Source organism: Homo sapiens, chromosome 6 (assembly GCF_000001405.40).
Source record: "Homo sapiens chromosome 6, GRCh38.p14 Primary Assembly".
NCBI classification, from domain to species: domain Eukaryota; kingdom Metazoa; phylum Chordata; class Mammalia; order Primates; family Hominidae; genus Homo; species Homo sapiens.
In genome coordinates this window covers 135,038,535-135,054,842 of record NC_000006.12, presented here as the reverse complement: position 1 = coordinate 135,054,842, position 16,308 = coordinate 135,038,535, and the positions used below count along the sequence as shown (strand labels likewise).

The 16,308-nt window shown below is 37.9% G+C and overlaps 1 protein-coding gene across 6 annotated transcripts in view; it reads left to right on the top strand.

Moving 5' to 3' along the window:
• The window catches only part of HBS1L (HBS1 like translational GTPase), a 94,445-nt gene continuing 78,157 nt past the window's right edge, over positions 21 to 16,308 (top strand). For 4 of the 6 annotated variants that reach the window (NM_006620.4, NM_001363686.2, XM_047418093.1 and 1 more), the window contains exons 1-4: positions 21 to 194; positions 4,196 to 4,261; positions 12,717 to 12,842; positions 15,076 to 15,270. In NM_006620.4, the coding sequence (NP_006611.1) occupies positions 152 to 194; positions 4,196 to 4,261; positions 12,717 to 12,842; positions 15,076 to 15,270 (430 nt within the window). In that variant the 5' untranslated portion in view covers positions 21 to 151. The remainder of the gene's footprint in view (positions 195 to 4,195; positions 4,262 to 12,716; positions 12,843 to 15,075; positions 15,271 to 16,308) is intronic. The other 2 variants (NM_001145158.2, XM_017010192.2) reach the window with 1 other exon arrangement.

The following is a 16,308-nucleotide window of genomic DNA, read 5'->3' as shown; positions in this document are numbered from 1 at the left end:
TCGCGCTTGCGCAGGCGCTCGGCGCAGAGGCCTGCGGGAAGCCAAGATGGCGCATAGGGGTTCTCCAGGCTGCAGTTGGCGCCTTATCAGTATCTAAGCGGAGTGTTTTGGAAGGAGTTAAGGGGCTGTGGCAAACGCCCTCTCCGCCGTCATGGCCCGGCATCGGAATGTTCGAGGCTATAACTACGATGAAGGTAGGTGGCAGGGTCATGCCGGGACGTTCTTTTCCCGGCTACAGCTGGGATCCTAGCCCGTTGGCATCCACTTCAATCTGTGAGTTTCTCGTCAGTGTTGCCCTGTCGGGATTGGGAGAGCCCCAGTTGGGGAATATAACAGGCCTTCTAGTGCTTTCAAATGCCGTCGTTTTTAAGTCATGATTTCTGCCCTCTGGGGTTGATTTTATTTGGGGAGGGGGAGGTGCTGCATAGCGTCATATGGGTAGGATATTGGTGAGGTTGAGATCCGGTGATATTTAGGCACGTAAGCATTATCACCTCTTCCATTGTTTCCTCCCATGTTGGGCACTAACGTGCCTGCTTCTAGCTCCTCTCTCCCAGATCCCCTTTGAGAAATGTCCATGAAACGTTGCTTATTTGTAAAACACAGATTGACTTAATACATTCAACGGACGTGTACCTGTGTTAGATTTACATGGTAAACCTTTTGTGTATGTCCATACATACCTAGTGCAGAATCAGTTTGCGCTAATTTATTTTTCAACGAATTTCAAAGTGGAAACTTAGGAGACGGTAGAAAAGACACATGTTAAAAAGGCCCAAAGAATGAGTCGATCAGATGGATCTTGAAGTTTATACTTAGTTCTTGGCTGGTAATGCTTGATATAAATGTATTTTGAAATGTAAATAAACGGCAGTACTAGAGGAAAGAGTGTATAGGAAAGGACTTTTTGATATTAAAAAATGAAATAAAAATGTCTGTATGAATGTTCTGTAGGAGTTAACAGGAGTTAGAATTATTTTTAGGAGGAGCACATCCCTCTTCATGCAGTAGATAACTATAGGCATCACCAAGCATCACATAAACTAAAAATATAAACAAAAATGAACTAATGCAGGAGAAGAATAAAGAACTATGCTTTACGAAGTGCAGAACATGTAGTGCTTAATATGTTGGTGATTGTCATTGGCACCCCAGTAGATTATTATAGAACATCAGTATGCTTTAACTAGAGTGAGGGCAGCTAACACCCTGTTCTCCATTTGGAACCTGTGACCTCAGTCCGTCTAGAACATGTGAATTTTCTGGTGGTTACTTTAGAATGGAGGCCCTTTTAAATAAATATTGCAGTGGATGGTATTGCATGTGGACCATTGTCACCTAAGAAATGACTTTAGATTGAGAGAGATTTTTGCAAATATAAAGTACATGAATAGGCCTATTTATTATTCATTCATTTCTTTAATAGTTGTTTATCATTTCCTCAACCACCATTAAGTTAGTGCTTAGAGTACTGTTCTAAGCTTTGAGGACTGAAAGTAAGATATTTGAGGGTGGTCTAAAAGGAGAAGATTATACGAGTTACAGATTATTAGAGTATGAAAAATGCTACAAAAGGTACTGAGAAAACGCTATGGGAGGGATACACAGATGAGAACACTTAATTCAGAATGGATTGGGGGGAATTTAAGCAGGATTTCTACGTTAAGGAATGCTTCATGGAGGAGAGGTGGTTGGCCTCAGGGAGCACCTTGGCTTCTTGAGGTTAGGTTGTCATGTTGTCATGCTTCTTTGAAACAATTGGTGACATCATAACCAAGCTGTTCCTGTAACATTAAGGAGGTTCATCCCCTTTTCTTGTTTATAAAAGTTGTACTCATTAAGGTCCAGTTTATTTCTCTTCTTCCCAGTTAGGCTTTCTCTTGAATTCTCAGAATAATAATTTAAAAATTCTGTTAAGAAATATAACCTCATTAGAGAGAGTTTGTGTTCTAAAACCTACTGGTTCCGCTACTTAACTCCCACTTTGTTTTTCTCTGTAATTTATGTAATACTTTACATGACTGCCTCAGTCACTGATTTAAAAGTCTCAGGAAGGCAAAATCCATACTTTAAGTAGCTGGCACAATGTTCTTTACATGTGGTAAATATTTCATAATTTTGTTGATTGAGGAAACAAACTATGAAGATTGCAGGAAAGAATTCTCTTCATCTTTATATGTTGTGGCACTTTAGGGTCAACTTCAGCATTGACAAACTGACCTAGTAAAAAAGAGTTTTTTTTCTTTTTTTTTTTTTTTTAAGAGACAGGATCGCACTTTGTTGGTTGGCCAAGCTGGAGTGCGAGTGCAGTGGCATGATCATAGCTCTCTGTAACCTCCAACTCCTGGGCTCAAGCAATCCTCGTGCCTCAGCCTCCCGAGTAGCTAGGTCTACAGGCATGTGCCCCCATGCCCGGTTAATTTTTTATTTTAGTAGAGACAGCATCCGGCTGTGTTGCCCAAGCGAGATCCTCCCTCCTCGGCTTCCCAAAGTACTGGAATTACAGGTGTGAGCCACGATGCCTGGCCTATTGTTGTCTTCAATATCTAAAAATACTTTGTTTGTGAATGGCCCCTTGTTTATTTGCAAATAAATTTTTATTAACTTGGGATTGTGATCTAATAATTTATTTAATCATATATGTTTTTGCCCAATAGTAGCATTTATCTAATTTTTCTTTGCTGTAAGCATTTGGTCTCAGCCTTTGAGCATGCTGTTCCTGCTGCATGAATACCCTCAGAAACTAGCTAACTCTATCCTTTGGAATTGGTTTGGATATTATATTAATGGGGATCTTTCCCTAGCTGCCCCACTCCCGGTTCTAGTTTTGTCATTCATGTGTGTGTTCCCAAATTGCTCTGTGTTTCTCACATCAGGCACTTGTCACATGGTTTTGTAATTGCCCATTATCTTGTGTGTATTCCTTGTCAGATTTTAGGTGCAGTGATAACTGGAAATGTGTTCACTGTTATACCACAGTTGTCTCAACTACTCCCTGGCATGGTGTTAGTGTTTGTCAAATGAAATTTATGTAAATATATTTATGTTCTTTGTGGGTTTTTAGTTGTAATTAGTTTGATTCATTAATTTATAATAAAACAAATATTAATCTAGTGCCCCATATGTGCCAGGTAGTTGGCTAAACCAAGTCTTGCCCTGAAGAAGCTGATAGTCTCATGTAGTGAACAGGCGTAGCGCTCTGTAAATTGGGTAAGTGTGCTGGAGGGTAACAGTAGCAGAGGGGCTTACTGCTTTACCCAGAGTGGTCAGGGAAGACTTGTGCAAAGAGGAGACATTTGAGCTGGAACCTTAACTAGCAGAAAGAAATGGCCTCGGAAAATCTAGGCAAAGAGCATATCCCAGGAAGCAGAAAAAAAGGGCAGTTAGCCATCAGCAGGTGGGCATAGGGAGTTTAGGGTAAGTTGGTTTGTATAGATGTTACCTAGCTCTCCATAAAGAAATACTACTTTCATGATCTATTATATACCCCCATGTTCTGTGGAAGAGAAGTGCTTTGGTTTTAGAGGGCACATGGTGAAAAAAATGGTTTATTTCAGATTTTTGTCAACACTGGAGAGACTAAGTATTTTTTTTTCTTTTTTTCTTTTTTTTTCTTTTTGAGACGGAGTCTTGCTCTGTCGCCCAGGCTGAGTGCAGTGGCGCGGTCTTGGCTCACTGCAACCTTGCCTCCTGGGTTCAAGTGATTCTCCTGCCTCAGCCTCCAGAGTAGCTGGGATTACAGGTGCACGTCACCATGTCTAGCTAATTTTTGTATTTTTAGTAGAGACGGGGTTTCACCATATTGGTCAGGCGGGTCTCAAACTCCTGACCTCATGATCCACCTACCTCGGCCTCCCAAAGTGCTGGGATTACAGGCGTAAGCCACCGTGCCTGGCCTCAAGTATATTTTTTATAGGATTATTGTATTTGATCCTATGAGGTGAAAACTTGGGACCTGGGTAAACCCAATTAATTTAACAACTGAAGAACTGTGTATGTCTTTATAAATATAGAGTTAGTAAATAACCTATTTTGTGGGTGAAATTCTTAAGAGTTTTTTTGAAAATAGACATTCTAGGATCCTTAAATTTTGATAAACAGTTTATTTTGGAGAGGATTCAGATGCTTCCTCACTAGTAACTAAGAATATAAAAAGAACTTGTAAATGAATTTATCTCTTTTGTCTTTATTTTAGATTTTGAAGATGATGATCTCTACGGCCAGTCTGTAGAGGATGATTATTGTATTTCGCCGTCAACAGGTGAATTTTTAAAAATAATTTGATTCCTTAGATTTGGTGTTTAAAAATGTAAATGTTAGTCGTTCAAGGACTGGAGTGTTCTGTGAGACTGTAATATATAACATTTAAAAAGTTAATTATATGTTAATTATTAAAGGCATATAAAATAATTTCTTTTCCTGTGAGTAGAATTTAAATTTGTGATTCTATTATTTAGTTTTAAATAATGTGAAAAAGACTGTGGCTTCTTTTCCACCATACTTTGCATCATGCAGTTAATCTAAATATACTAAAATGGTAATTTAGTCAATAATGAAATTCTGAAGCCTCTGGAGGCAGGCAGCCATTATATCCTCAAGGATCTTTTGAGTATTAGAAACTTGGAGGTGTTATGCCTAGACTTTCCTTTATACAGTACTTTAGTTTATCTGTTGAACAGTTTGGTAAATAAACCAATATATGTAGTTCAGACTTCTTTTGGAGCCACAGAGGAATTTGGCATTCATATTTCTGTATAATTCCACATCAGAGCTGCATCTTCTAGATTATCAGCCCAAAGATTTCTTCTCTGCCACCATATAAGGAGAACATTGATATATTCTTCCCAGCAAAGGCTGAGTCATTAATCCTGATCCTCCTGTCACTTATTTCTCTAACACTACATTTGTCTCCAAATTTCAGCCTACTGTCTACACAGGTTAAAATGCCCTGCTAAATTTTAGTATGGTGTAGGCCAGGTACGATGGCTCACGCCTGTAATCCCGGCACTCTGGGAGGCCGAGGCAGGTGGATCACCTGAGGTCAGGAGTTCGAGACCAGCCTGGCCAACATGGTGAAACCCCGTCTCTACTAAAAATACAAAAAGTAGCCAGGCATGGTGGCGAGTGCCTGTAATCCCAGCTACTCAGGAGGCTGAGGCAGGAGAATTGCTTGAACCTGGGAGGCAGAGGTTGCAGTGAGCTGAGATCACACCATTGTACTCCAGCCTGGGCAACAAAAGCTAAACTCCATCTCAAAAAATGGAAAAAAAAATTTAATATGGTATAAAAAGAGTGTATAATAGTATATTTACCTGTGGTTGGGTATAGCATAAATATAATTTATAAAACTCATTTTTCACAAGTTTAAAGGTTTGATATAATTAACATTTCTTTCAGAGCCTTCTGCCATGGTCTGAATGTTTGTTTCCCCAGATTCACATGTTGAAATTCTAACCCCAAGGTGATGGTATTAGGAGGTGGGGCCCTTGGGAGGGGAGGTGATTAGGCCATGAGGGTAGAGCCCTCATGAATGGGATTAATTTCCTAGTGAAAGAGGTCCCAAGGAGAACTCTTTCCCTTCTGTCATGTTAGGACACAGCAAGTAGGTGCTGTCTGTGAGCCAGAAAGCGGGTGTTCACCACACACAGACTGCCTTGATCTTGGACTTCCTAGCCTCTGAACTGTCAGAAATTTCTGTTTATAAGCTACCTAGTTTATGGCATTTTGTTATAGCAGCCTGAATGGACTAATACATCCTCCTTGTCTTAATTACCCTCTAGTCCGCTGGGCTGTCTTATAAACTGTACCTGCTTTCATCCTATTTTTAGCCTCTGCAGACCAAATATGCCCCTTCTGACTTTTATAATTTCTTTTTCTTTGTAAAGGCATAGATATGCTAGAAGTTGTCTTTATCATATCTACTCTGTCATCCTTTTCCTGTTAACTGGTTATTCTGAAATGCATCTAGCTCTTTATGTACAGGCCTGCTCTTCTGGTCAAGTACTTTTCTCATTTAGCTTAATCATGGCTTTTCCTCTCATCTTTTAATGTTTCACTGTTATCAGTCTATATTCTGTTAGGAGATAAAAATTGCACCAGTTATTTTATCAGAGAACATTTAACATCAAAAGTTGTTAATGAGGTATTATAGAACAAATAATGCAAAAAGTGCAACCAGGATATCAAGAAGGTAGTAAGTTCAGGAAGCACTTTACTGTCCCTAGTTCTTAGGGGAACAAAAGGCAAGGTTGAAACCACCTTTTAGAAGCTGATGGAGGCTCCTTGCAGCTGTGACTTAGACCTTGAGGAGAGGGTTCTTTGCTGCTTTGCCTCTGAAGTTCACAAGAGGGACTGTGGGGCCAGGACTCAGACCTCTGGGCAGGGAGGCACTGCATGGCTGATGCTGGTGCCTCAGAAGGTCCCTGAATCTTAGAGCTGGGATTCAGCCTTTTAAAGAGGGGATTCCGCCTTTTAAAGAGGGGATTCCAACCTACTGGCTGGTCGTGTTGTCTGGGGAGTGAAGAGGCAAATTGAAGCTGGTTCTGGGAGTTTTGGAAAAACTGAAAACGGATATTAATTGCAGTTACTGGAAGAAACTGCTTCTGGAAGGTGAAGTGAGTATTGCTGGGGTGATACTGGAACAAGAAGCAAAAGGAAAGGAGCATGTGCCTGCCTTCTCTGGCTTTCCGGTGTCCCTTTCATATCTCCTTATTGGATGATCCTAAAAGGGAGCCGGGTATCAAAGAAGAAATGTGCTTTGCAGTGACTTCAATCCAGCATCACAAAGCTGAGTAAAGGATGGTAGGTTAGAAGCTGAGAGGTGGCTTAATAAGCAGCATTCCTTTATAGCTCCTTATTCAGGGGTTCAAAAGAGAAGACATTTTGTAGTGACTTAGGAATAAAACAATTTCACATTTTTCTAGGAACCTCCTAGGCATTTGCCCTTTGGGGCTCCTATAATTCAGCATCACAGTTGACTAGGTAACTTAAATATTAGAGGTGACAAAGTGATGTCTGGTAGTGCTATCCTCATCACTCACATTCTAAGCACATTAGAGAGCATGGCATATAGAACTGAGAAGATGATATGGTTATATTAGATTTGAGTTAAAAAAATCTCTAATACATAGTTAATGGATTAAAGGTGGTATATGGGTGGATGTAAGTAGACTCGTTAGGAGACTGTTATATGTATTTATCTAGAGGAGATGAGGCTATTTTAGGACAGTGTTCTCAAAGTGAACCATCAGCATCGCTTGAGAGTTTGTTAGAAATGCAATGTTGGGGACTCCACCCAAGAGTCAGAAACTAGGAGTGAGGCATAGCAGATGTTTTAACAAGCCCACTGGGGTATGCTCGTGGTATGCATTGAGAACCATTTGTTTAGGGCAAGAGTTGGTAGCATTGGATTTGGAAATACATTCAAGAGAAAATTTACAGGAGTTGAGGTCTGCAGGACTTGGAAGTTGGTTGAATATGGCTTTGTATAAGCGTGGAATCTTTCAGAGGGGGGATTACTGAAAGACACCTTAATATTGCAGGTTAACCCAGTCATTTATCTAGGCTTCTCTGGATAAATGTTATGTTATCTTGAATAATAAGGTAATAGTACAAAGTCAGACCTTCAAAGGGTGTTTCTCTGAGACTTGCATTTATGGCCTAGCTTCCTTGAGGACAGAGACGGAGTTTATCCATGTGTCTCTCATAGCTTTTGATGTGGCTCTTACCTGTGGTTTGTATTCAGGACAGTCTGACTCTGAGAGTTACTTTTCAAACACACCAAGAAGCCAACTGATCTTATCAAAGCAGGAGATAGTTAAATGTTTTTGGTTTCTTCTGTGACAAACTGATTTTTAACAAAAGCATACGACTTTGGATTTTTAAATTTTTCAAAACATTTTAAAATAGCAGTAACATCAGATAAGAAACTTACTTTCCTCTATAGTGGTATATTTTCCAAGTAATTTTCAATAAAAAATGAATGGTTTTAGAAGAATATTTTCTATTCTTAAGCAGCTAATGTCATTGAAAAGCTGATTGTATTCATGGTGTAATGAAGTCTGATAATTGAAAGACTTTATCAATTAATTGGAATTTCTTTCTAAAATTCATCAGCACGTGTATATTTTTTTGAATTCTATTAAGCTCAATTTTCCTGGTCTCACTATGCTGCCCAGGCTTGTCTCAAATTCCTGAGCTCCAGTGATCCTCCTGTGTCGGCCTTCCAAAGTGCCAGGATTATAGGTGTGAGCCACCATGCCCAGCCTAGGATGGTGATTTTTAAACGTTAACTTTTCTTTCTTTTAGAAAGATTGATACTGAGTATTGAACCTATGTCAAAGAGTAGGGGGTAGCAAAAGGAGTTTGCATATAAAACTTTATTTGAATGGTGATGTATTTTGTTTCAGCTAATATGATTAGAAGTAATCTTTGTTTGCTCCATTCTAATTTCACACCTTTATTGTATATTCTTTTTTTTTTTTGTAAGAAAAACACTATTCTAATACATTTATAAATTAGTTTGGTATAAGGAAGCTTGTTTAAAGTCTTGTTCAAATAACTTGCTACAACAGTACTGTGGGTAAAGAAAATAACCCTGACTGAAGGAGTCTGGGAAGGCTTCTAGAAGGAGGTGGGATTGAAGCTAGGAAATTTGGGAGTAAGAATGGCATCCCAGCTAGAGGAAACAACGTTGCTTAAGCAATGGCCTCTGAGTGAGGCTTGTTTCATCAGACTACCAGGATTAATGCAAGTGGCAGGAGGAAAGAGGGCTAGGAAAGAAAATAGGAATGAAATTGTGAAAGACAGTTTCTAATTTTGTGTTTTTAGTGTCAACTTATTGGAGTTTTTTGAGTAAGGGAGCTAGTATTTTGTGCAGATAACTGATCATGGTCCACAAAGTGGCGTATAGGTGGGCCAGAATAAAGGGGAGACTTGTAGTTCACCAGTGTTTCTTAATCTTACCTTGTGATATGAATCTGCTGGGAATCATTTTTTTTTTTTTGAGACGGAGTCTCATTCTGTAGCCTAGGCTGGAGTGCAGTGGCACGATCTCGGCTCACCTCAACCTCCACTTGGCTCCCAGGTTCAAGCAGTTCTCACGCCTCAGCCTCTCAAGTAGCTGGGATTGCAGGCGCCCGCCACCACGCCTAGCTAATTTTGTATTTTTAGTAGAGATGGGGTTTTGCCATGTTGGCCAGGCTGGTCTTGAACTCCTGACCTCAGGTGATCCACCTGCCTGGACCTCCCAAAGTGCTGGGATTACAGGCATGAGCCACTGTGCCTGGCCAGAATAATTCTTAAGAATACAAATTTCCTGCTTCATTCCAGCACCACTGAGTCATAATCTCCCGGGGAAGAAGCCTAGAAATCTGTATTTTTAATGAATGCCTCATGTGATTTTTATTTTAAGATGTTTAGGAAACCATTGTAGGAAGTTTCAGGTGTTAGGTTTTGAATTCTTTGCACTTTTATGTTTGTCAAAATGCCTTAAATTTTAAAAATTATAGGTGTCTGTTTTTTCAGAAGGCACTTCCATCAAAGTTTGTGATTTAAAATTTTAGAGAATAGCATTTTGTATTTACCATTTTCTCATCATTACTTTCTCTCACTCCTTTATTTGTTGTATTTGTTGCTTTTGGGGCTCTCAGTACAACTTCAGAGGTTTGGACCGCTCCCCACCTCACCCACCCACCCTTTGAAAGTAATGGAAAGACCTGCGGTTACTTTTGCAGCGACCCAATACTTCTCCTGGGGGAGTTTTCTTACTCTTCCCCCCACCCACCCTTTGCAAATCCAACCATTACTACTTCCAAAATAGTGGCCACAGTATGGGTTTTTGAGTTGGAGTTATGTGTTGGGTGTGTGTGGTCGTATAGGACCACCCTCGACCCCACCACAGAAAAAATAGCTCCTGGCAGGCAGAGGAGAAGCCTGTGCATTGAAAACTTCCTCTTCCCTGTCAGTATTTCCTGACTGAAACTTGTTGAGGGAAACATCTGATTTCATGCCTCACTTAGTTTTTTAATTTGTCTTAGGTTTCTCCCTCCTAGTTCATGGGTAGGAGGAGAAGTTGGGGGAAGGATGTTTGTTACTTTTAGACGAAACTGAATACAGTTTATTAAAGCCAGGAAAGCACCAGGGACCAAAGGGCATCATTTATGCCACATTTTATTAAATCTAAAATGCCATGAATTGTAAGGTGTATCATTATTTTAAGGACCACTTTAAAACAAAAGGCTATCAGTCTAAGTATTATGTAATGCTAAGATGTCATTTGATTGAAAGACACATCTCTAATTCTGAGATTTGTAATGTGAAAAAAGTTGTCCTCTTAGAGAATTTATGAAATAGGATGTCTCTTCTGCTATTTAGCCATGCTGACCTTATACCAGTGTTGTTATCTACTTGCACAAGAGGGGGAAAATAGGGATATATGTATCCCTACACATACATACATACACAACATAACGTGCATTCTTAAAAAACTTTGTGGTCTTCAGAATTATATACTAAAATTAACAACTTATGGGAAAAAATAAGATCAGGACAAACCACTCCACCTATAGAGTGGAAACAGAAATAATTATCTTAATAAAAATGCTTGCACATTTGAAAAGATACATTAATTTCCTAATAAGTACTCCAGTAAATATAGGATTTTACACTTTTAAAAAAGGTGAAAGCTTGATAGGAGATGTAAGAAAGGGTTGAAACTAAAGGATAATATTGTAAAGGCACAATGCTCACAGACCTTGGAGAGCCAAGCAGTAAGGGCTCTCCAAACAGGGCACATGTCCAAACTGAGCCAAGGGGAGGAATGTGGAGCTACGTGGCATTACAATACAATTATCTTGCAGCATAATATTTCTCTGTGGTTGGTGTTATCGGACTTTATATGTGTTGTTATTATGCAGTGATGCAAAACTTTGAAGTTTTGGGAGACAAATTTCATAAAATTTCATAACATCCTCAATGTTACACTTTCATAGCCCATTGACATGAGCTAATTTGTTTTAAGGAAACGTGCATTATAGTAGAACGGATTGAATTCTCTCAACTGCTCTTTATTAATATTTCTCTTATTCTTTTCTCCTTGTTCAGGATCTCTTCCACCTCTTCAATTTTCCCTATATTCCTACCTCCTTTATTATAATGCTCCAGTCTTCATTGGTTACTTCTGTGCTTCCGCAGTGCTTGTTGTCTGGTATTACTCATTTGGCTTTTAGAATAAGTCATTACGTTTTTCTTCTTTGCCCTCCCTTCTAATCTGTAAGGCCATTGACTTTTACAATGAATAGAGAGTGGTTATGCTTTAACCTTCCGAGTATAGGTGTTACACATACACTGCAGCTTTATGTTCTATGCATTATCTATACATTTTGATGTCTTTTTCTCTACCCCTCAATGTGATTGTATATCTATAAATTTTGAATGTAGCTTCCCTTTAATAAATAATATCTTCCTGATAATCTATACACAAGTCAATGAACTTAACATGTTTTGTGCTCTTATAGAAAGCTAGATAATACCTCTAATAATACCTTGCCTTTTGAATATTATATCTATATTTCTGTCCTTCTTAACATATTCTTTAATTTTGTTCCTTTACAATTGAACACAGTGTCCAGGATTCAGTTCAGTGGCCATCCAGTAGAGCTGGAAGCATTAGTACTGTGGATATGCCTGTGATTTTCTCCTTTGCTCACTTGTATTTCATTTATGATACTCAGGCATGTATTGGCATTTAGATAATCTGCCTTTCCTTTCCTTAATGAGATACATATGAATACCCAGTTATATATTGAGTGATGATGTTTGGCAGTATTGCAGAGTAGCACAGATGTCTGAAAGTTAAAGTTAGGTATATGACACTAGTTTACAGTGTCAGTGTATAATTGAAAGTGTGTGATTGAAAGCATGAGTTGTTTAAAGATTAAAGTCTGTATTTTCCGTGAACTCTTAGATTCAGGCAAAATTAGCACTTCATGTGTTTTCTTTTCTGTTTTTTTTTTTTGTTTTTTTTTTTTGAGACGGAGTTTTGTTCTTGTCACCCAGGCTGGAGTGCAATGGCGTGATCTCGGCTCACTGCAACCTCCGCCTCCTGGGTTCAAACGGTTCCCCTGCCTGCCTCAGCCTCCTGAGTAGCTGGGATTACAGGTGCCCACTGCCACGCCCAGCTAATTTTTATATTTTTAGTAGAGATGGGGTTTCACTGTATTTGCCAGGCTGGTCTCGAACTCCTGACCTCAGGTGATCTACCCGCCTTGGCCTCCCAAAGTGCTGGGATTGCAGGGGTGAGCCACTGCGCTTGGCCACCTTGTGTTTTCTTAATTATGTAAATTAGAAGTTTGATATTTGGTTTGAAATATTTGTATTGAAGAGAAAATTTCAGGGAACACAGAATAGTATACAAAGAAGAGATATTAGGAAAGGTAGATTTTGGAAACCAGGGAGAAAGTAGGCTGAGTGGAATGGTTTCAGAGATTGGGGGAAAGAAGGAAGAAGATTATAAGAGAATAATAAATTGTAAGCACCTTCGAGTAGGATTTTAGGTATATGTTTTGATATGATATTGTTTTTGTTTTCATCCCTTATGAAATATGGGTAACTATAGGTGATTGATTAGAATTTTTAATTTTTACTTTAACTTTTGTAAAAAAAAGTTAATAGGAAATGGCTATACCATAGCATTCTTTGATCATTTTATATTCTAGCTGCTCAGTTTATTTATTCACGGCGTGACAAACCTTCCGTTGAGCCTGTGGAAGAATATGATTATGAAGATCTGAAAGAATCTTCCAATTCTGTTTCAAACCATCAGCTCAGTGGATTTGATCAAGGTATAGCAAAAAGTAGTGTATCTGTTATCTGAAAGTGATTAATGACCAAATACACCAGAATTTATCAGTTTTATTGTGTTTATAACAGTGACTATGAACAGTAATGATGTAAACATATCTTTCATATTCAAGGACAGTTTATGTTTTATTAAGTATGTTTTGTGAGGAGTGTATTTAACTGTATGATTGAAAAATTGTATGGCTATTGTTTAGTAACTGAAATTTTAATTGAACTATCCCATTTAAAATTTTTTTCCATGGGAGAGAAACTCTAGTGATTCGTTAAGAAGAACTTTTTCAGATGATTTAATTGTTTCATAAGCTGTATATGGAGCTTATGATTAGAATACATAAACTCCTTTACTTACAAAGATGTTAAGTTCAAGAGGTTTCAAAAAAAACCAGTTGAAGTCTAAAGTGACACTGTATAAGTGTCCTCAGGATTTACATCTGTGTGAATTAAGTTTCAAGATTTACATCTGTGTGAATTAAGTTTCAAGATAGAACTTGGTAATGACATCGGTTCTGAGTTTTTGCATATTTTCAACTCTCTTAAACATTTTAATGAAGATATTTATATTTTAGCTTTCTTCTTTTATAAGTATAAATAAATAAATAAGTATAAATAAATAAATAAATAAAAAAGAGGAGGCCCTGATGCTAGCTAGCTATACTATTTTGTTACAGTTTCAATAATTGATGTATTTATCAAAGAGATAATATTATCCCATAGCTTATTAGCCTTTAAAAGTTAATCTTAAATTGAAGCAAAGCAGAATTGCCCAAATATTTCAGGAATGTATTTTTAATAATTAATGGGCCAATGAAAGAAGTATCAAATACTTTTTTTTTTAAAGAAAGGGTATTGCCAGTAGATTACTTGTTCAGCATATGAGCATGTACAATTAAATATAAATTGCATTCTGTGAAATGGTTTTGTGGAATAGGGAGTTTGAAAACCTCTATTCTATTTTGATTATTGCTAACTTAGTAGTGCCATGATTTTCAATCTTATCTTTATTAAGTTAGAATTTGCTTGATATATCTAGCTCATAGACTTATTATGAGGATTACAAAAGAAATATACATAAAAGTATTGTGAAAATTGTCAAGTGCTATACAAAAATATAAGGGAATATATCATTCATTTTTATTCATTGGCCCCTAGTTACCTGGTACTAGAGATACAAAGGGTTCTAGGGATACAAAGCCTCTCTGCTCTTATGGATTTTAAATCATTAATAAGTATTATTAATAATTACTTTTAATACTAATGTCATCAGAAAATTAAAATTCATAAACAGCTTAGATAATTCCAGACTTAAATTTTTTTCTTTTAAAAGTGAATGCCGGCTGGGCACGGTGGCTCACGCTTGTAATCCCAGCACTTTGGCAGGCCGAGGCAGGTGGAAACCTGAGGTCAGGAATTTGAGGCCAGCCTGGACAACATGGTGAAACCCATCTCTACTAAAAATAGAAAAATCAGCCGGGCATGGTGGCGGGCGTCCATAATCCCAGCTACTCAGGAGGCTGAGGTGGGAGAATTGCTTGAATCAGGGAGACGGAGGTTGCAGTGAGCTGAGATCACGCCACTGGCATTCCAGCCTGGGCAACAGAGTGAGACTCTGTCTCAAAAAAAAAAAAAAAAAAAAAAAAGAATGCCTATCCTCCCCTTAATCTCCTGGACTTTCTTATTTTTATGGCATTTTTATATTATGTTATCTTGCCGTTTTTTAAAGAGTCATTAAGGATTATTTTAGTTAGCTGGGAAGAACTGAAGTTAGCCAAAAAGGAAACTTAAGGTAGCAGCTTGAGAAATATAAGAAATATACTTCGTGAATAACTGGATTCACTAACAAATTAGAAATAGTTCCACACTCACCCCTTCCTTTCTGTACATGCAAAAAATGATCATTGCAGATACCATCATCACTGGTGACTGAAAATAGATATTAGTGTATACTGTGCAATGTACACTTTTTTGAAACATTAGTCACTATTATTCAGGAGACATTTTATTATAGTGATTTTTAAATTAACGAAATCGTTCCTTGGATAAGGGAAGATAGGTATATTGTAGATAAAAATACGATCATTAGAGATAATTTTTGCCAAAGAGAAGGGAGAGTTGAATATTCTAGTACAGCTGTAAATTTTAAAATCAGTTTTGAAGATTAAAAGTTCTTTCATTGCACCATTTAGTATAGCTTTTGACCATTGTCGTCTTTTCTAGCTCGTCTTTATTCATGCCTTGATCACATGAGAGAGGTACTTGGAGATGCTGTGCCAGATGAAATATTAATTGAAGCAGTTCTGAAGAACAAGTTTGATGTGCAGAAGGCTTTGTCAGGGGTTCTGGAACAAGATAGAGTGCAGAGTTTGAAGGACAAGAATGAGGCAACAGTATCTACAGGAAAGATAGCAAAAGGTATGCCTTTACTTGTTCTTTTTCACTTGTTTTACATAGTTAATGCCTAAAGAGAGGCTTTCGTTTGCTTGAGCTTTTAAGAAAATATTTAATTTGCTTGAGCTATTAAAATCTTGCATGTTATTGTTAACTTTTGATTATCAGTTGATCTAGTTGTGGATTTTTAGGATGATGACTGTGTTTCTTCTGTTGTAGCCTGTTTTTGTGGTTATTTTACTGCTTGATTGTTTTTGTTTGTTTTTTTGTTTGTTTTTTGAGACAGAGTCTCACTCTGTCACCCAGGCTGGAGTGCAGTGGCATGATTTTGCTCACAGCAGCCTCCACCTCCTGGGTTCAAGTGATTGTCCTTCCTCAGCCTCCCAAGTAACTGGGATTACAGGTGCGTGCCACCATGCCTGGCTTTTTTTTTTGTTTGTATTTTTAGTAGTGATGGGGTTTCACCATGTTGGTCAGGCTGTTCTTGAACTCCTGGCCTCAAGTGATCCGCCTACCTTGGCCTCCCAAAGTTCTTGGATTGCAGGCGTCAGCCACTGTACCTGGCCTCACTAGTTGATTTTATAACAACATAGTGGAAATAAAATTAGATAAGACAAGACATCTTTTTCTTCTTGTTAGTAGCTTATAGAACTTTTTAATTGTTATTTTTTTAAACTCTGATGAGATAGGAAAAGGAAATTGACAGCCAGCTAATTAATGTTAAAAAAATCCCTTTATGCTTTTATTATGTATAATTTTGTTTTATTTAAAAATAATTAGGTATAAGTATCATAATTATACTACTTTGCATTTTATAGCCAGAGATTTAATTTTAAATTTGTAAAATTTGGGGTTAAATTTGGAATTCAGTGGACATAAGAGGGGAACTGAGGTGGTAGCATTATATTAATTGGCATGCTATCTCTCAGTTTGAGTATGGCGATTTGTTTACTATGTCAGTGTTTGTTGTAACCTCTGGGCTAAATTTTTTCTACAACAAAGCTGTGTACAGCCTGTTACCATGAAATAAGAGTGTGTTTTCCAGGGATGCTGGGCACACAG